Raw genomic sequence first — 21,294 nt, 5'->3', positions numbered from 1 at the left:
CATCGCTGCCTCACAGGCTCTGATGCATGTTCTTCCTCTATGTCCTCATAGGATGTTTGGTGCACAGCTGTCCTTATAGGACATGTACCCTGCTATACTGCCACTCAATCCAATGCAGCAAACATTTGTTGAGAACTTATTATGTACCAGGGACTCCAGAAGTCAACATGTAAGAAATATAATTCATGTCTTCAAGGAGTTCACAGTTCACCAAGAGAGACATTCAGGCCAACGAATCATCCAAATGACAGATGGTACAATATGCATAAGGAAAATATGGAAGTGATTGCTTAATTACTTCTATCAGTTGGGGATTTAGGGCAGGCTTCCTGAAGGAGTGGTTATCTAATTTGGATTTTGAAAGTAAAATAAGCGTTCAACAGGTATCACTGAGGAGCACTTCTAACACAGGGATTATTTATGTACTATTCTGCCCATAAAACTTTAATATTTGTGAGGGAAGAGGCATGTGTTTCACTTGTATATACAACTCTCACCACTATTTGAAACAAGAATCATAAATGTTTACTAAATGTTGTTACATTAATCTGACTGCATAAATGCAACATAGAGTATTGGTCAAATAATATTCTATGCCAAAACTGGTGTTTCAATCACCCCATGCATAGGAGAGAACTGTATTGCTCCTTAATCAGTTCATTAGGGTTGCTTTTCTTGTAGATATAATAATTTAGGCAGTAACATTGTTTTCGTCTAATCTCAATATATGTACAAGACTCACTCTGCATCTTTACTCAAAATACACTGTCAAGAACTTTTTGGGTCTGTCAGTAACTAGAGTTCCATTCAAAGAGACAAAGAGCATTCCTATGTTTATTACCAGATGCATCCCCTTGCATTTGAAAAAATGATAGCTGAGTGGATGATTAACATACCAACAAAAATCCTGATGATATTTGGGGGAATTAACTTTAGGCCAATATAAATTCAGTAAAATTTAACAAATATATAACGAGCAAGTTCACCAAATAACGTTTGAATTTACAATCTGCATGCTGAGCCTATGGAAAACAAGTTACCTGAAAAGCACCTGAAACGCTCTCCACATCCCTCCTCTGTTGGACATCCTCTTGTAGGTTCACAGGACTGTGTTTCAAAAGCATTTCCAACACAAGGCTGGCCTCCATACTGCCCATACACAGCAACTGACCGCCTGCGAGTCTAAACACAAAGCAGGCAGTGGTTTGTTTGTTTATTTGTTTGTTTTCAAAGAAATCTCTAGTTTCCTTTATCTGAGTAATAAAATCTGAGAAAAAGTAATACAATTAGAAAAACAACGTCTGGAAAATTGTTCTGGTGTTCTACAGAAATAAAACCTCAAAATCAATGAATTCACAGACCTATTTGTCCTTGAGTTAAGCAACATGTTGGCTATTATTTATAGAGAGCTCCCAGGCATATATTGACTTTCAGGATTAAATGCAAAAAAAAAAAAATGATGTTAGTGAATCTTTAAGAAAGTAACCTGATTGCAGTGAGCTGAGATCATGCCACTGCACTCCAGCCTGGGCAATAAAGTGAGACACCGTCTCAAAAAAAAAAAAAGAAAAGAAAAAAGAAAGTAACCTGAGTAAAGCTTAGAGGGTAGACACATAAGCAAATACATTAGAGCATAGAATGATTAATATATTTACCAAATCTGTGTTCCAAGAGCTCATTAGAGAAAGTGAAATGACTTTTTCTGGAGAGAGGATAAGGTACTGGGAAAGGGGTTAAGATGAAGCAGAGTTAAGGAAACCTTCAGAAGAGTGATGGTGATTCCTTTCAGCTAAACTGTAAGCCTTCTTCAGGAAGAAAGGCAAGCAAAAACAATTCAGAGAGAAATACATGAATATGGAAGTCAAATTTACAAAACAGAAGCCTAAGTAATCCAAAGGTGAAGCTACATCTACAAAGGAATACGTAAAATACAAACCTCTTGAGGGAAAAGAATATAGGAAAACTGAAGAAATTATCAAACTAAATGAGAAACTTACAACTAATTCATACTAAAGTTTATTTAATCCTCATTCACTATGAAGACATGTATCTAACATTCAAACAAAAAGAAAGATCTACCCCTGGCAATCAGTGAGCATCTTCCAGGCCTCTTCCTCTACTCACCTCTTCTCCATTAACAAACAAAACGGAACCAAAACTGAGCGTCCTGAGGATTTAAACCTTGAGTGAAGATCAACAGGGAAGAGTTGCTGTACATATCAATGTCGAACTTATTCATCCATCCTAAATTGGGTTAGAAGTGGGAATTCCTTGGCATGAGGGGTCACAGTGGCCATAATTTGAACTCTGAGCAGGTACGCACCAGCCTGAGCATGGCTCTGGTGTCTTTCATCATGTTTAAGCAAAGGAGCCACAGAGGAATATGAGTGGGGAATGGAACTCGGTAAGGTTTCTTGATACCATTTTTAGTCCCTTTGTAAGTGATGAAGATACCGCTCATGTGTGACTTAACAGTGTCCTTTTGTGAAGTTCCAGAGCCCAGATGGTGTTGTTTGCATAAGAAAGTGTTTTTCTTCTCCATATTACCAGGGAGCCCTTGATGGCAGCCACTCTCCACAGTCTCCTTCTCACCTGTCAAAGTCTGACCCTACAACCCCTTTCTCATTTTCACTTGTCTCTTTCTGAATGAAAATTTTGTTTTTATAATCTAGGATGTATCCATTGCATAATGACCTTCACTCAAAGAAAAAAATTGCTTGTATAAAAAACACCCTCTATCTCTCTGCTTCTATTTAGTGTTCTTTCTTCTCTTTAAATGATAAAAATATTTAACGTGTTTGATGTTTCTTTGACCTTTGCTTGTTATTCATGTACCTGGTTGCCTGTAATCAGAGCTGTTATTTATTATACTTGCTAGAAGCCAAATTCTTTATTCATGTAATTTGTTTTGAAAATACTACTCATGTAGGTACTAAATAAATACCTGATCTTAATGATGATGCTTCAAAATAATAATTATCTTCTATGGTATGATTCTGTTATTTTAATAATTAAAAGTGATTTTTAAATATAATTTTACCCAAACTGGACTATTTCTAGAATATTTAACTCTTGAAATGTTCAGAAACTTTAAGATAAACATTTTATTTCTAGGACTATCCTCAGAAAATTATGGGAAAAGAGGACAGATATCTACATTCAAAAATGTTTATTAAAGTTTTCTTTATAACAAAAATGGAAACAACTTAAATATCAAACAATAAAAAAGTGGAAAAATAAGAAGGCTATATTCATATCATGGAACATAATACTGCTGTTATAAATTATTTTGCTGATAGTATAATGTTAGATTAAAATAGAATACAAAACTATGATAAAATAATCTCAATTTTTTTAATTATAAGCACACACAGAGAAAAAGTAGACAGAGCTGAGGGAATAAATACCAAATGCTGTTATATAATTTGTTTCTTCTAAATGGTAGAATTGGCCAGGTGCAGTGGCTCACACCTGTAATCCCAGCACTTTGGAAGGCCGAGGCAGGTGGATCACGAGATCAAGAGATCGAGACCATCCTGGCCAAGATGGTTAAACCTCATCTCTACTAAAAATACAAAAAATTAGCCGGGTGTAGTGGCACGTGCCTGTAGTCCCAGCTACTTGGGAGGCTGAGGCAGGAGAATCACTTGAACCCGGGAGGCGGAGATTACAGTGAGCCAAGATCGTGCCACTGCACTCCAGCCTGGCGACAGAGGGAGACTCCGACTCAAAAACAAAAAAAGAAAAAGGCAGAATTGTGAATAATGCCTTATTTCTTCATAACTTTCTGTATTCTCTCCAGTGAACATTTTATAATAAGGAATACAAACATTTTTAGAAGCTTTTTATAATATCCACATTAAGTCCAACATTGTATTTGTGTTACTTAGCAATTAAACTTTAAGACATTTTGCAAAATTTTTTTCATGGTTGTTCGCTATTTGTGAAGTAAAATCAAGCAGCCATTTTGCTATTTGCTAGTGTTTGTTTGAGATGAGAAGAAAAGTTGAACTCAGTGAACATAAAACATTTTACATTATCTAAAAATGTCATTCTATGTTATTCCTATTTCTCTCATAGTTAAAGAGTTAGTAAATTGCCTTGAACTTTTAGCCTATATACATTTCTAGCTCCAAGATAAGATCTAGAAAAATGAATATACAAGTTACTTTATTACAATATTACAAGTTACTTTATTACCATATTAATTATTAAACAAGTCATACTTTTCTCCCCTCAAAATTACAAACATAGTTTTCAAAAAATATTGACACTATTTAATGAACATTCAAAAGTTAATACCATTTTGGCCATGCCAAAGTATTTCTGCAATAAATAATCAAATACAAAGTTTTGCATGGTCCTACCTGAGTCTTGGTACAGCCATTGCATTCTGACCAAGGGGCATAGAAGTCCCACTGGCAGTTGACTGGAGAGGAGGCACTGCCACAGTGTCAAATTGTCCATCATAAAGCAGGTGGAAAGATACGCAAGGGAACACAAAGAATAGTGAAAACAGTCAAAAATAGTTAAATGTTGCCTCAAATATTTTTTCCGAAGAGACACTAAAAGGATCCTAAAATATATAAAAATGGAGGGAGCCCCACTTTCTTAGAGACTAACACTTAATAAACATCTATTATGCTGGCACAGTGGCTCAAACCTGTAATCCTAGCACTTTGGGAGGCTGAGGCGGGCAGATCACCTGAGGTCAGGAGTTCGAGACCAGGCTGGCCTACATGGTGAAACCCTGTCTCTACTAAAAATACAAAAAAAATTAGCCAGGCAGGGTGGCGCGTGCCTGTAATATCAGCTACCCGGGAGGCTGAGGCAGGAGAATCACTGGAACCCAGGAGATGGAGGCTGCAGTTACTGGAGATTGCACCACTGCACTCCAGCCTGGGCAACAGAGGGAGTCTCCATCACAAAAAAACAAAATCTATTATGTACCAGGTTCTAAAGACACTAGAATTGTAGAAATAATAAAAGAGGTAGGTCATTGGCCGGGTATGGTTGCTTATGCCTGTAATCTCAGCACTTTGGGAGTCCGAGGAGTGCAGATCACTTGAGATCAGGAGTTTGAGACCAACAGGGCCATCATGGTGAAACCCCGTCTCTACTAAAAATACAAAAATTAGCCAGGCGTGGTGGTGCATGCCTATAATCCCGGCTACTTGGGAGGCTGAGACAGGAGAATTGCTTGAACCTGGGAGGCAGAGGTTGCAGTGAGCTGAGATTGCACCACTGCACTCCAGCCTGGGTGACAGAGGGCGACTCCATCTCAAAAAAAAAAAAAAAAAAAGAGGTAGGTCATTGACTATTGATAGAAGGAAGGACAGAGACACAGATGTGTAAACAAATAATCATAGTACAATATATCTCATTTGATGGATTTCAGAACAGAAATGCATTCAATATAATGTGTTATGGGAATATAGATAAGGGAGAGTTTGAGTTAAGAGGGTAGGTGAAAACATATGTAAATATGTTTTATGGCCTTTGAAAGGAGCAAGGTTTTATGGCCTTTGAAGGGATTCTGAATGATGAGTTGAAAAGTTATCCAGAAACACTTAACTGAAAGACAAGAAACTATAAAAAGTCCCCATGAGAAGTGGAAAACTAAAAATTGGCAGAGGCTGAATGGACAGGAATTTATTTAAATGCATCCCCTGTTCATTTAGGCCATTTTTCAAGCACACAACCAAGGAGGACAATCTGAGCTTAAACAGCTCCACTAAAATAAAGTACATGTGAAAATGGAGAGTTGACTCTCATAAAATGCTCACATTCTGGCCATGTCATATGGAAAAGACTACCTGAGTCAGCTTTAAGAGACTAAGGAAGGCTTGCCTAAAATGATGCTCTACGAAGAATAAAAGAACTAGTATTCCTGATTTCTGGATTCCCAGCACATTCCTCGGCTGGGCAATATCTTGAGTCAAGATGATTCTTGCATGTCTTAAGAGGGTCAGGTTACTCTGAAAGTAATGACTCTCATTCTATAGTGTGTGCCTTGGCTGCTTTTACAGGGCCAATCTTGCCAACCTGTGGTTTTCGTATGGTACCAATGATCAAAATACCTAAATACTTTTGACCCTTGAACAATCTGAACTTACTGTTATTTTTCTAGCCTCTGTCCTGGGGAAATGGAGAGGGCTTCCCCAAACATGGAGACTTAGGAGAGGAAGTTTGCTTGACCTTCCTGCTGTGCTCTCACATCACCCTGAGCAGGCTTCTGTCAGAGCCCTTAACACATTCATATTGCAATGAACTGGCTCAAGATACGAATCACCCAGCATGCTCCCAGTGCCTTCTTGCTCCTTGTGGTATCCCCAGTACCTAGCACAGCCCCTGACACATTTTCTGATAGTTCCATAAAATGAACTGACCTGGCTCTGTCTCATCAATCTGACACAGTGAGAGCATAACAAAGCCTTGGATAAATGATGCTGGCTTTTTTCCAGGCCTCAAGAACTTGGTAAGACTATTTTCTTAAAAAACTCTCAACCTTTAAAATCCAGAGGATGCTTTGCAAGGATTACATTTAAAGATCAAATATTGCTCTAAGATATATAAGTCCACTGTGATTATCTGCATTACAGATAAAACCACGGCACTGAGACAAAAAACTTATACTTTTAGTCTTCAATTTTTAAAAATAATTTTACAAGAGAATTATTCTTCTTTAAGTAAAAGAATAATAATTAAAAACACATGCTTTTGTTATCATTGTCTTTTATAAAAATATGGAAAGAGAAAATATGTTGGAGGGATACACAGATTCAAAGTGCAATGTCAAAATTAGACTAAAGAATTACTAAAACATTTTTTAAATTTAATGATTTTTACACACAACCCAAAAAGTCCTCACCTTGAAAAACTTTGGAACTCTCCTATAAATCCCACCAAAATGAATAAGCTTATCACCTGGAGAAGAAAAACAATAAAGTATTATTTTAGCTTGCATTTCTTTTTATAACTATAAATTGACAATTTATAATTGTATAAATTTATGGGGTACAAAGTGATGTTATTATTTCTCAATACAATGTGAAATAATTTCATCAAGCCAGTTAACATATCTATCACCTAAAATATTTAACATTTTTTGTGGCAAAGAAATTTGAAATTTACTTTTGGCAATTTTGAAATGTATGATACCCCAATTTAACTATATTCACCACGCTGTACAATAGAATTCAAAATATATTTCTGCTAACTGAGATTGTGTACCCTTTGACCTTTATTTCCCTATTACCCCAGTCTCTGTAACCACCATTCTACTTTGCTTCTACAAGTTCGATTGTTTTACATCATATAAGTGAGAACACGTGCTATTTGTCTTCCTGTGCCTGGTTTATTTAACTTAACATAATGTTTTCCAATTCCATCTATGTTGTCATAAATGACAGAATTTCCTCCTTTTTAAGGCTAAATACTATTCCATTGTGTACACACACCACATTTTCTTTATCCATTCATCTGTTGAGGGACACTTAGGTTGATTCTATAACTTGGCTATTGTGAATAGTGCTAAAATGAACATTTACTTTTGTAAATACCCAAAAGTAGGATTGCTAGATCATATGATAATTTTTTTAAGTTTTATGACAAACCTCCATGCAGTTTTCTATAAGAGCTGTACTAATTTACATTCCTACCAAGTGTACAAGTGTACAGGGATTCCCTTTTTTCCACATCCATACCAATGCTTGTTACCTTTTGTCTTTTTGATAATAGCCATTCTGACAGGTGTGAGATGATAACTCAATGTGATTTTAATTTGCATTTCTCTAATGATTAGCAATGTTGAGCACTTTTTTTACGTATCTATTGGCCATTTGCATGTCTTCTCTTCAGAAATGTTTACTCAGGTCTCTTGCCCATTTTTTATTTTTACTTTACTTCCAACTCCCTTTCCTGGTATTTTGCCAATTTTTTATTGGGTTTTTTGTCTTCTTGCTATTGAGTTGTTTGAGCTCCATATATATTTTTGATATTAGCTTCTTCTTGAATGTATGACTTATAAATATTTTCTCCCAATCTGTACATCTCTGAAAACTGATCATTGTCTCCTTTGCCATGCAGAAACTTTTCAGTTTGTTGTAATCCCATTTGTCTATGTTTGCATTTGTTGCCTGCACTTTTGGAGTCAGATCCAAAAAATCCCCACCTAGAAAAATACAGTTTTTCCCTTAGATTTTTTTCAATTAATTTTTCAGTTTCTGGTCTTATGCTTAAGGCTTCATCCCATTCTGAGTAGATTTTTATATACAATGCTAGATAAGGGTCCTATTTAATTCTTTTGCATGTGGATATCCAGTTTTCCCAATACCATTTATTAAAGAGACTATCCTTTCCCCATTGTGTATTCTTGGCAACCTTGCAAAAATAACCAATCGACCATATATGTGGGGTGCATTTCTGGGCTCTCTATTCTGTTCCACTGGTTGATGGGTCTATTGTTTTGCCAGGATCATGATGTTTTAATTACTATAGCTTTGTAGTATAGTTTAAAATCAGGCAGAGTAACACCTCCAGCTTTGTTCTTTTTGCCCATGATTGCCTTAGCCATTTGGGTTTTTTTGTGATTCCATATGAACTTTAAGATTTTTTTCTATTTCTTTGAAAAATGATGTTAGAATTTTGATAAAGATTGCATTAAAACTCTAGATCACTGTGGTAGTATGGACTTTTTAGCAATATTTTCTTCTAATCCATGAACAAGGGATACCTTTCCATTTGTTTATGTCTTCTTCAATTTCTCATCAATGTTTCATAATTTGCAATGTACAGGTCTTTAACTTTCTTGGTTAAATTTATTCCTAAATATTTTTGTAGTTATTGAAAATGTGATTGTTTTCTTAATGTCTTTCTCACATAGTTCATTGTTAGTTTATGGAAATGTACTTTTTAGTGTTTATTTTATATTCTACAATTTTACAGTATTCATTTATTAGTTCTAACAGTTTTCTGGTGGAGTCTGTAGGGTTTTCTACATATAAGATTGTGTCACCAGCAAACACAGGCATTTTCACTTCTTCCCTTTCTATTTTAATGCCTTTCATTTCTTTTTCTTGCCTAATTGCTCTGGCAAGAATTTCCAATACTATGTTGAATAAAAGTGGCAAAAGTGGCAAAAGTGGGCATTTTTGTCTTGATCCAGAGCTTAAATAAAAGGCTTTCAATTTTTCACTGGTGGGTGTAATGTTAGCTGTGGGCTTCTCATATGTGGCATTTATTGTGTCAAGTTACTTTTCTTCTGTACCTAACTTGGTGAGAGTCTTTATCTTGAAATGTTGTTGAACTTTGTCAAATGTTTTTCTGCATCTAACAAGATGATCATATAGTTTTTGTCATTCATTCTGTTAATCTCATACAACATATTTATTGATTTGTGTTGAACCATCCTTGCATTTCAGGAATAAATCCCATTTGATCGTGGTAGATGATACTTTTAATGGGTTGTTCAGTTTGCAACTATTTTGTTGAGATTTTTGTATCTATGTTCACCATGTTCATCAAGAATGTTGGCATGTAGTTTTCTTTTTTTGTAATGTGCTTCTTTGGCTTTGATATCAGGATAACACTGGCCTTGTAAAAAGAATTTGAAAGTATTCCCTCCTTTTCAATTTTTTGGAAGGGTTTGAAAATGATTAGTATTAGCTCTACTTTAAATGTTTGGGTTATCTCTTGCACCCACTGTTGCCATGTGACCTGCCTGTTCCCAGTTTGCCTTCCGCCATGAGTAAAATCTCCCTGCAGGTTTCACCAGAAACTGAGCAAATGTTGATGCCATGCTTGTACAGCCTACAGAACCAAGACCCAATTAAACCTCTTTTCTTTATAAATTACCCAGCCTCAGATATTTCTCTATAGCAACACAAAGAACAGGCTAACACAGAAAATTGGTACTGAGAATTGGGGCATTGCTATAAAGATACCTAACAGTGTGAAAGCAGCTTTGGAACTGGGTAATGAGCAGAGGTTTGAAAAGTTTGGAGGGCTCCAAAGAAGATAGAAAAATGAAAGAAAACTTGAAATTTCTTACAGACTGGTTAAATGATTGTGACCAAAATGCTGATAGTGATAGGCACAGTGAAGTCCAGGCTGATGAAGTCTCAGATGGAAATGAGAAACTTATTGGGAATTAGAGCAAAAGTCACCTGGTTTTGTCTTAGCAAAGAACTTGGCTGCACTCTGTTTATGCCCTAGGGATCTGTAGAAGTTTGAACTTAAGAGTGATAACTTAGGGTATCTAGTAGAACAAACTTCTAAGCAGCAAATTTCAAGATGTGGTCTGGCTGCTTCTAACAGCCTACACTCAGATTTAAGAGCAAAGAAATGACTTAAAGTTGGAATTTATACATGAAAGGGAAGCAGAGTACAAAAGTTTGAAAAATCTGCAGCCTGGCCACGCAGCAGAGAAAGAAAAAGGATCATCAGGAGAGGAATTCAAGGAGGGCTGTGGAGCAAGCACTTGCTACAGAGATTTGCATGACTAAAAGGAAGCCAAGTGTTAATAGCCAAGACAATGGAGAAGAGGCCCCGAAGGCACTTTAGAGATCTTTGAGGCAGCCCCTCCCATCACAGGTCAGGAGGTTTGGGAGGAAAGAATGGTTTCATGGGCCAGGCCCAGGGTCTTGCTGCCCTGCACAGCCTTAAGACACTGATCCCTGCATGCAGGCCACTCTCCAGCTCCAGCCTTGGCTCAGTGAGCCCCAGATACAGCTTGGGCTGCTGCTTCAGCAGGTGCAAACTGTAAGCCTTGGCAGCTTCCATGTGGTATTAGGCTCATAGGCACACATAGTGCAAGAGTGAAGGAGGCTTGGCAGCTTCCAGCTAGATTTCAGATGTATGAGAAAGCCTGGTTGCCCAGGCAGAAGCTGGCTGTAGGGGTGGAGCCCTCACAGGGAACCTCTACAAGGGCTGTAAAGGGGGAAATGCAGGGTTGGAACCCCCCCACACAGTCCCCACTGGAGTACTGCCTAGTGAATTAGTGGAAAGGGGATCACTGTCCTCCAGACCCCAGAATGGCAGATCCACCAGTAGCTTGCATATTGAGCTTGGAAAAGCTTTAGGCACTCAACTCCAACCCATGAGAGCAACTGTGGTGGCTGAACCCTGCAAAGCCAAAGAAGTAAAGTTGCCCAAGAGGTGGAGTGGAGCTCACCCCTCACAGCAGTATGTCCTGGATGTGGAACCTGGAGCCAAGGGAGATTATTTTGAAGCTTTAGGATTTAATGACTGCCATGTTGTGTTTCAGACTTCCATGGGGCCTGTAGCCTCCTTCTAGTAGCTGATTTCTCTTCTTTGGGAAAGGAGAGTTTACCCAATGCCTGTACCCCAATTCTATCTTGGAAGTAAGTAATTTGTTTCGATTTTACAAACTCATAGGTAGAAGAAACTTATCTCCAGATTGGACCTTGTCCTTGAGACTTGAGACTTTTCAGTTAATGCTGGAATGAGTTAAGACTTTGGGTGACTATTGGGCAGGTATCATTGTCTTTTATAGTGTGAGAAGACCATGAGATTCAGGGGGCCAGGGGTGGAATGGTATAGTTTAGATGTCCCTTTCAAATCTCATGTTGAAATGTAATCCCCATGTTGGAGGTGGGGGCCTGTTGGAAGGGGTGGATTTCTCATAAATTGTTTAGCACCATCCCCTCAGTGTCATCCTTGCAATAGTGAGTCTCATTAAGATCTGATTGTTTTAAAGTGCATGACATTTTCCCCCTCTCGCATACTTTTTTTTTTTTTTAAGACAGAGTCTTGCTCTGTCGCTCAGGCTGGAGTGCAATGGCACAATCTCGGCTCACTGCAACCTCCACCCCCTGGGTTCAAGTGATTCTCCTGCCTCAGCCTCCTGAGTAGCTATGATTACAGGCACCTGCTACCATGCCTGGCTAAATTTTGTATTTTTAGTAGAGACAGGGTTTCACCATGTTGGCCAGGCTGGTCTTTAACTCCTGACCTCAGGTGATCTGCCTGCCTCAGCCTCCCAAAGTGTCAGGATTACAGGCGGGAGCCACCACACCTGGACCCCTCACTCATTCTTGCTCTCACTATTGCCATGTGACATGTCTGCTCTTGCTTCACCTTCTACCATGAGTAAAATCTCCCTGAAGGCGTCACCAGAAGCTGAGCTGATGTTGATGCCATGTTTATGCAGCCTGCAGAACCACAAGGCAATTAAACCTCTTTTATTTATAAATTACCCAGTCTCAGGTATTTCTTTATAGCAACACAAATAATGGCCTAATACAATTAGTGATATTGAGCATTTTTTCATATACCTGTTAGCCATTTGTATGTCTTCTTTTGAAAAATGTCTATTCAGAGCATTTGCCCATTGTTAATCAGATTAATATTATTATTAACATATGCTACTGAGTTACTTCCCTTTACATTTTGATTCTTAATCCCTTGTCAGATGAACAGCTTGCAAATATTTTCTCTAATTCCATAGGTTGTTCCTCTTTACTCTTTTGATTGTTTGCTTTGTAGAAGCTTTTTAGCTTGATATAATCCCATTTGCCCATTTTTACTTTTGTTTTCTGTGTTTTTGAGATCTTACCCCAAAAAACGTTGCCTAGACCATTGATCTATGCTGTTTCCCTATGTTTTCTTCTAGTTGTTTCATAATTTCACATTTTACATTTAAGTCTAATTCATTTTGAGTTATTTTTGTATATGGCAGAAGATAGGAATCTAGTTTTATTCTTATAAATATGGATGCCCAGTTTTCCCAAAACCATTTCTTACAGAGATTGTCCTTTCCCCAATGTATGTTCTTCTTTTTTTTTTTTTGACAGTCTCACTCTGTCACCCAGGCTGGAGTGCAGTAGTGCGATCTTGGCTCACTGCAACCTCCTCCTCCTGGGTTCAAGCAATTCTCCTGCCTCAGCCTCCTTAGTAGTTGAAATTACAGGCACGTGCCACCACACCCAGCAAAATTTCTGTATTTTTAGTAGAGACGGGGTTTCACCATGTTGGTCAGGCTGGTCTCAAACTCCTAACTTCATGATCCGCCCACCTCAGCCTCCCAAAGTGCTGGGATTACAGCTCTGAGCCACTGCGCCCAAGCCCCGAGTGTATGTTCTTCTTTTTTTTTTTTTTTTTTTTTTTTTTTGAGACAGAGTCTCACTCTGTTGCCCAGGATGGAGTGCAGTGACACAATCTCTGCTCACTGCAACCTCCACCTCCTGGGTTCAAGCATTTCTTCTGCCTCAGCCTCCCAAGTAGATGGGACTACAGGTGTGTGCCACCATACCTGGCTAATTTTCGTATTTTTAGTAGAGATGGGCTTTCACTATGTTGGCCAGGCTGGTCTTGAACTCCTGACCTTGTGATCTACCCACCTCAGCCTCCCAAAGTGCTGGGATTACAGGCATGAGCCACTGCACATGGCCTCCAATGTATTTTTTGTTGTTGTTTTTGTTTGTTTGTTTGTTTGTTTGTTTGTTTTTGAGACAGAGTCTTGCTCTGTCACCCAGGCTGGAGTGCAATGGCATGTTCTTAGCTCACTGCAACTTCCACCTCACAGGTTCAAGCCATTCTCCTGCCTCAGTCTCCTGAGTAGCTGGGATTACAGTTGCGCACCACCACGCCTGGCTGATTATTGTATTTTTTTTAGTAGAGACGGGGTTTCACCATGTTGGTCAGGCTGGTCTCGAACTCCTAACCTCGTGATCCACCCACCTCGGCCTTCCAAAGTGCTGGGATTACAGGCATAAGCCACCATGCCCAGCCCAATGTATGTTCTTACCACTTTTGTCAGAAATGAGTTGGTTGTAAATACGTGAATTTATTTCTTGGTTCTCTATCCTGTTCAGCCATCTATGTGTCTGTTTTTAGGACAGTAGTATGCTATTTTTGTTAGCATACTACTTTTTTTTTTTGTATAAACTACTTTTGTTTTTTTTAATAATCTACTTTTGTTGTAGCTTTGTAGTATAATTTAAAAGCAGGTAGTGTGATACCTCCAGCACTGTTATTATTCAGAATTTCTTTAGCTACTTGGAGTCTTTTGCTGTTTCATAAATTTTTAGAATTTTTTCTATGTCTGTGAATAATTTCATTGGTATCTTGATAGAGATTACATTGAATCTGTAGATCACTTTGGGGAGTATAGATATTTTAATGGTATTAATTTTTCCAATCCATGAGCATGGGATATCTTTCCTTTTTTGTGTTCTCTTAAATTACGTTCATCAGTGTTTTATAGTATTTTTTGTAGAATCTTTAACTTCTTTGATTAAATTTATTCCTTGGTATTTTATTTTATAGCTTTTATAAATGGAATTTATTTCTTGATTTTCTTTTCAGAACCATCTCTGTTAGCATGTAGGAATGCTGCTGATTTTTGCATGTTAATTTGGTAGCCTGCAAATTTACTGAATTAATTTATCACTGCTAAGATTTATTTAGTGTAGTCTTTCATTTTTTTTTTTTTTTGGAGACAGAGTCTTGCTCTGTCGCCCAGGCTGAAGTGCAGTGGCATCATTTTGGCTAACTGCAACCTCAGCCTCCCAAGTTCAAGCAATTCTCCTGCCTCAGCCTCCTGAGTAGCTGAGATTATAGGCGTGCACCACCACGCCCAGTGAAGTTTTGTATTTTTAGTAGAGATGGGGTTTCCCCATGTTGGGCAGGCTGGTCTCAAACTCCTAACCTCAGGTGATCCACCCTCCTTGGCCTCCCAAAGTGCTGGGATTATGGGCATGAGCCACCATGCCCAGCCTACATTTTTTTCTAAATATAAGTTCATGTTGTTTAAAAGCAAGAATAACTTGACCTCTTCCCTTTAAATTTGAATGCCATTTATTTTGTTGTCTTGCCTAATTGCTATCGTTAGGACTTTCAGTATTATATTGAATAAAAATGGTGACAGTGAGGAAAAATAAAAAATAAATGTTTGGTAGAATTCAGCCATGAAGCCATCAAGTCCTCTGCTTTTTTTTTTTTTTTTTTAATGGGAGAACTTTTATTACAGATTCAATCTTTTTACTCATTATTGGTATGTTCAGATTTTCCATTTCTTTATGATTCAGTCTTTGTATGTTGTATGCTTTGGAGCACCTAAACATATAAAACAGATATTTATATTTATACAATATGTAAATATTGTATTGCAACCCATCTCTTTCTTCAGATCCACAGGATCTGATGGATTGCAATGTAACAGTAGAAAACTTCCATACCTCACTTTCAATGCTGGAAGATCATCCAGACAGAAAATTAATAAGAAAACATTCAACTTGAACAACACTTTACAGAAACACTTTACAGGACCTAAATGAACAGAAGAATTTAACCACTTCTTCTTAGTTATCCAATTTGTTGATGTATAATTGTTGATGATAGTCCCTGATGATCTTTTGTATTTTTGTGGTATTATGAATCTTCTTTTTTTTAAATTAATCTAGTTTGTCAAATTTGTTCATCTTTTCAAAAAAGAACTTATTTTATCTATCTTTTGTATTGTTTTTCTAGTCTCTATTTCATTTATTTCTGCTCTGATTTTTATTATTTCCTTTCTTATGCTAACTTTGGCTTAGTTTATTCTTCTTTTTCTGTTTCCTTGAGGTATGACATTAGCTTATTTATTTTAAATCTTTCTTCTCTTTGATGTAGACATTTATTGTTATAAACGTTCCTCTTTGAACTGTTTTTGCTGTATCCCATATGTTTGCTATGTTGTGTTTCCATTTTTGTTTATCTTAAGATAACAAGATTTTTATCTTGTTATCTAAAGATTTTTAATTTCCCTTTTAATTTCATTGACCTATTGGTTGTTGAGGAGCATGCTAATTTCCATATATTTGTGGATTTTTCAAAATTCCCCCTATATTCATTCATTTATTTTTATTTATTTATTTTTAGAGACAGGGTCTTTTTCTGTCACCCAGGCTGGAGTGCACTCGCACAGTCATAGCTACTGCAGCCTTGAACTCCTGGACTTAAGCAATCCTCCCACCTCAGCTTTCCAATTAGCTGGGACTACAGGTGCATAACATGACACCTAGCTTCCTCCCATAATTGATTTCTAGTGTCATATCACTGTGGTCAGAAAAGATACTTGAGGCCAGTTGTGGTGGCTCACACCTGTAATCCCAGCACTTTGGGAGGCCAAGGTGGGCAGATCACTTGAGGTTAGGAGTTTGAGTCCAGCCTGGCCAACATGGTGAAACCCCGTCTCTACTAAAAATACAAAAATTAACTGGATGTGGTGGTGCACGCCTGTAGTCCCAGCTGCTCGGAAGGGATGAGGTGGGAGAATCACTTGAGCCTGGGAGGTGGAGGTTGTAGTGAGCTGAGATCAGACCACTGCACTACAGGCTGGGTGACAGAGCAAGACTCCAACTCAAAAAAAAAAAAAAAGATACTTGATATAATTTCAATCTTCTTAAATTTGCTGAAGCTTGTTTTTCCCCCTAAAATGTTATCTGTCCTGGAGAAAGTTCTGTGTGCACTTGAGAAGAATGTGCATTCTGTTGCTGTTGGATGGAATGTTCTGTGTGTGTGTGTGTGTGTGTGTGTGTGTGTGTGTGTGTGTGTCTGTTAGATTCATTAGGTCTAAAGCGATTTTCAAATCCAATGTTTTCTTACTAATTTTCTGGATTATCTTTCATTGTTGAAAGTGGCGTATTGAAATACCCTACTATAATTGTATTGCAATCTGTCTCTTCCATCATATCCTTAATATTTATTTTATATATTTAGGTTCTCTGAAGTTGGGTGCATATATATTTACAATTGTTATACCCTCTTGATGAGTTGACTCCTTTATCATCATATAATGTCCTTACTTTTTTTTTTTACAGTTTTTGACTTTAAGTCTATTTTGTCTTATATAAGTATAGTTATCCCTGCTTTCTTTTGGTTTCTATTGATGTGGAATATCTTTCTTCCATTGCCTAATTTTCAATCTGTGTGCCCTTAAAAGTGAGGTGAGTTTCCTGCAGGTAACGTATAGTTGGCTCTTGTTTTTTTATTCATTCACTTACTCTATATCTTTTTACTGGAGAACTTAATTCATTTACATTCAAGGTAATTATTGATAGATAAGGACTTACTACTGCCATTTTGTTATGTTGTTGTTGTTGTTTTTCTTGTTGTTGTTGTTGTGGTATTGTAGATACTTTTTTTTTGGAGATAGGGCCTCTCTTGCCCAGGCTGGAGTGCGGTAGTGTGATCACAGCTCACTGCACCCTCGACCTCCCAGGCTCAAATGATGCTCCCACCTCAGCCTTTGTGAGTAGCTGGGACCACAGGTACGTGCCACCACATCCAGCTAATTTTTTTTGAAGTTATTGTAGAGATAGGGCCACCCTATGTTGCCCAGGCTGGAAGATACATTTTTCTTTCTTTCTGTCTTGTTGTCTTTGTGGTTTCGCAGTTTTCAATAGTGGTATTCTTTGAATACTATTTCTGTTTTGTGCTTCTACTAAAGATTTTTGCTTTGTGCTTATTATGAGGCTTCCAGAGAACATCTTATAATCACAACAGCTTATTTCAAGGTGATTACAACTTAACTTTGCATACAACTCTACATTTTTACTCTCCCGTCAAACAGTTTATATTTTTTTGATGTCAGAATTTACATCATGTGTATCCTTTGAAAAGTTATTTTAGTGTTACTATAGTTGTCATTAATAGTTCTAGCTTACATTTCTTAAATGATTTGAAAACTATTACATTTGTACAAGTCAAGATTTGTGACTTGGCAGTATAAAAAGTGAAAGAACCATGGAGAAGGCTAAGTGACTCTGCTTATCTTTTTAAGTTTCTATTTTAAATAGAAGTTTGAAGGATCTTCAAAAAATTAAAAATAGAACAAGCATATGATTCAGCAATCCCCTACAGGGTATATAGCCAAAGTAAATGAAATCAGTATATCAAAGAGAAATGTGCACTCCCATGTTCATTGCTGCATTATTTACAATAGCCAAGATACAGAACCAACCTAAGTGTCCATCAAAGGATAAGGGGATAAAGAAAATGTGGTAAAGAGACACAATGAAATAGTACTTGGCCTTAAAAAAAGAAGAAAATTCTGTCATTTGTGACAACATGGATTAACCCAGATAACATTATGTTAAGTGAAATAAAACAAGCAGAAATAAAACATTCAGTATTTTTCTTTCTAGAAAAATACTTATATTTGGAATCTAAAAATGTTGAAGTCTAATAAGTAAAGAGTAAAATGGTTACCAAGGGCCATGGGGGCAGGGTGGGGATTGTTGAAGAGATGTTGGTCAAAGGTTACAAAACTTCAGTTACATAGAAGGAATAAGTTCAAGAGATCTATCATACAAAATGGTGACTTACTTAATACCAATATATTATATTCTTTTTCTTTTTTTTTTTTTTGAGATGGAGTCTCGCTCTGTCACTCAGGCTGGAGTGCATTGGCACAGTCTTGGCTCACTGCAACCTCTGCCTCCCAGATTCAAGTGATTCTCTTGCCTCAGCCTCCCAAGTAGCTGGGATTACAGGTGAGCGCCAACATGCCTGGCTAATTTTTGAATTTTTAGTAGAGACTGGGTTTCACTATGTTGGCCAGGCTGCTCTAGAACAATGTATTATATTCTTAAAAACTCCTAAGAGAGTAGATTTTAAGTATTCTCCCTACAAAAGTATGGGAGGTAATGCATATGGTTAATTAGCTCAATTGAGCCATTCTACAATATATACATATTTTATAACATCATGTTGTGCACAATAAATAGACACAATTTTTATTTGTCAGTTAAAAGAAATAAATTACAAAGATAAATAAATGCTTTTTTAAAAAAAAAATAAAAATTTGGTACAATCCTGTCAAACTCTATCTCCTACCGCTGAATTCTCTAAAGACAAGTAAGGGTTGGGTGATGCCATGGACACACAAATTGAAAATACTCAGTAGACTTAAATGGTTTCGAGCATTTCCTTAAGGTCCCATCATCTTTTAATCCCTTATTCCACTCCGGTTCTCTCTGACTACAGCACTCCGGAGGGATACCAAGAGGAGAGAAAACCTGAATGAAGTAGCAGTGCAAATGGCTGATTTTAAAAAGAAACCAAGCTTCCTAAGTTGGTAATCAAGGTTGAAGCACAGCAGTAGGCAGGGGGCAGTGACTCTCATCTTATTCTTTAGTACTGTGGGTGGTCCGTTTGATGTTTAAAACACTCCTGAGGCCTTTTATGATCATCTTTATGTGATAGCACAAGCCTAAATAAATACAGAGGATCTGATAGGTTACAAAATTGTACATAAAATGTGATTACATTTTGTTTGAAAAATCAAATGTGCATTGAAAAACAAAATCTAGAAAGAAATATAATAAAGCATAATAGTTTATTTCTGGTTGTCAAATTATAGGTAGTTTCTATTATATATTTTCCTACTTTAACTGTATGTATTTTCCTACTTTAACTGATAGCTGAAGGTGATGGAGAAGATACAATTCAAATCTTTACTGATTCTCTAAGAATATCAAATGCATCCAATTTATAACTCTGGATAAAGGACTTTAAAATCATCTCACATTTTAATAGCCCAATATTTTCTCTCTTCTTCCTGAACTCCCCAAAACTCTTTTTCTCAATGTACCTATGAAAAGTCTTCTTAACATTATTTTCTGGATCTTTCCACTATCCTTCTTAGATAACCCATTCTCTTATTAGGTATCTTTTTTTCAGTTGTAAAATTCTGCCTGCCTGCTTCTGGCTGTTAGAGTTCTAAAAATGTTTAAGCCTATTGTGCTGATTAGCATATCTGAAAGGGTGAAAAGGTGCCAAGGAGTTGGGAAACTGTGAACAATGTTGGGGGAGGTTATTTGGGGGAGACTATGAATACTTTTCTGACTTCAACAAACATGTGGATCGTATAAGTTTTTAAGACGTTTTTGTTTTAAATTATAAGCTATGTGGGGTGTGTTTTTTCTTTTCCAATAATGTGGCTTTCCTCCGTGCTGTGTCAGCTCATTTTGTCTTGTCCCTGGGAAAGCCTATCTCACAGCTTTACTAGTCATTTTTAGGCATTAACCACTAGTCACATTTTCAGAAAACAATCTATTATAATATTCAAACTTCAATTTATCCTCCAATTTTAAATCTGTCTCTCTTACTTTCAGTTTCTGAGTGCTTGTAATGAGGGAGGAGTGGGTCCACTTCAAAATTGCGCCACCTGACTCCTCTTCCCCACCTCCCCAAGCTGCCTCTTTCCTCTCCAAAATCAGAGCAACAGGAATGAGAGAGACAAGAGTAAAACAGAATCTTGCTTGACTGATCCAGTTGGAGTCTGGTGATGGCAAATCAATGTGTTAGACGTTTGACTGCTGATTCTTTATCTCTCCCAGTGTTTTTGTGGTTCTTTGGACGTCTTCCTACTACTCTGTAGCCACTGTACTCTGGCACAAATGATTCATCCCTTTGTTAATCACTTTCGATTCTCACCCATGCCTGCTTCCTGGGGGTCCTTTCCAAACTGATGCTATTTCTTGGGGTTGCTTCATCCTGCAGTCAAGCACTCTCTCAGGCAGTGTCTCTGACAGTCCAAATCTGGTTCCCTTTTAACCATCCATATGCGGGCCATGGGATCCCTGCACACATCCGTGTCCTGCCAAACTCTGAATGTCCGCGCTGTAACTGATACTGCTGGGTTTATTTACTCTGCTAAAGGAGGTCTGTACCTTTACATTTTCTCAAATGTGCATAGGGTAGCATTTCCTATATCTCCGATGCACAATCTTGTATTCTCTTGAGAATAGGGATGGCCCAAGGGTTACCAAACAGATTTGGGAATACTCTCTTTGTAATATTGCATAGAATGTCTAGCATCTCACTTTAAAATGTGAAGGTCCTCCTGTCTCTCACCTTATACAAAAATCAACTCAACATGGATTGAAAACTTAAATGTAAGACCTGAAACTATAAAAACACTAGAAGAAAACCTAGGGAAAACTCTTCTGGACATTGGTCTAAGCCAAGAATTCATAACTAAGGCCTCAAAAGCACAAGCAACAAAAACAAGATTAGACAAATGGAACTTAATTAAAATTAAAAGCTTCTCTACAACAAAAGAAATAATCAACAGCGTGAACAGACAACCTACAGAATGGGAGGAAATATCTGCAAATTATGCATCTGACAGAGAACTAATATCCAGAATCTACAAGAAACTCAAACAATGATAACAACAAAAACAACAACAACAAAAACATTAAAAAGTGGGCAAAGGACATGAATAGACATTTTTCAAAGACATACAAATGGCTCACAAGCATATGAAAATGTGCTCAACATCAC

The 21,294-nt window shown here is 37.3% G+C and overlaps 1 protein-coding gene across 1 annotated transcript in view, besides 1 other annotated feature; it reads right to left on the bottom strand.

Moving 5' to 3' along the window:
- Positions 1–21,294, bottom strand: part of C7 (complement C7) — a 75,147-nt gene that overhangs the window by 49,137 nt on the left and 4,716 nt on the right. Inside the window, exons 2-4 of the mRNA NM_000587.4 lie at positions 6,872–6,927; positions 4,368–4,443; positions 1,041–1,182 (exon numbers count right to left, since the gene is read on the bottom strand). Of these exons, the coding sequence (NP_000578.2) occupies positions 1,041–1,182; positions 4,368–4,443; positions 6,872–6,927 (274 nt within the window). The remainder of the gene's footprint in view (positions 1–1,040; positions 1,183–4,367; positions 4,444–6,871; positions 6,928–21,294) is intronic.
- Positions 18,801–19,336: an enhancer, noted in NCBI's record as "OCT4-NANOG hESC enhancer chr5:40916273-40916808 (GRCh37/hg19 assembly coordinates)". NCBI's record gives its function as "activates a minimal SCP1, AML or CMV promoter by ChIP-STARR-seq in naive H9 embryonic stem cells {active_cell/tissue: H9 hESC(naive)}" and the evidence as "EXISTENCE:reporter gene assay evidence [ECO:0000049][PMID:30033119]".

This window comes from Homo sapiens, chromosome 5 (genome assembly GCF_000001405.40).
Source record: "Homo sapiens chromosome 5, GRCh38.p14 Primary Assembly".
NCBI classification, from domain to species: Eukaryota; Metazoa; Chordata; class Mammalia; order Primates; family Hominidae; genus Homo; species Homo sapiens.
Note: the sequence above shows the minus strand (reverse complement) of the source record. Positions and strands in the feature narration are given on the sequence as shown.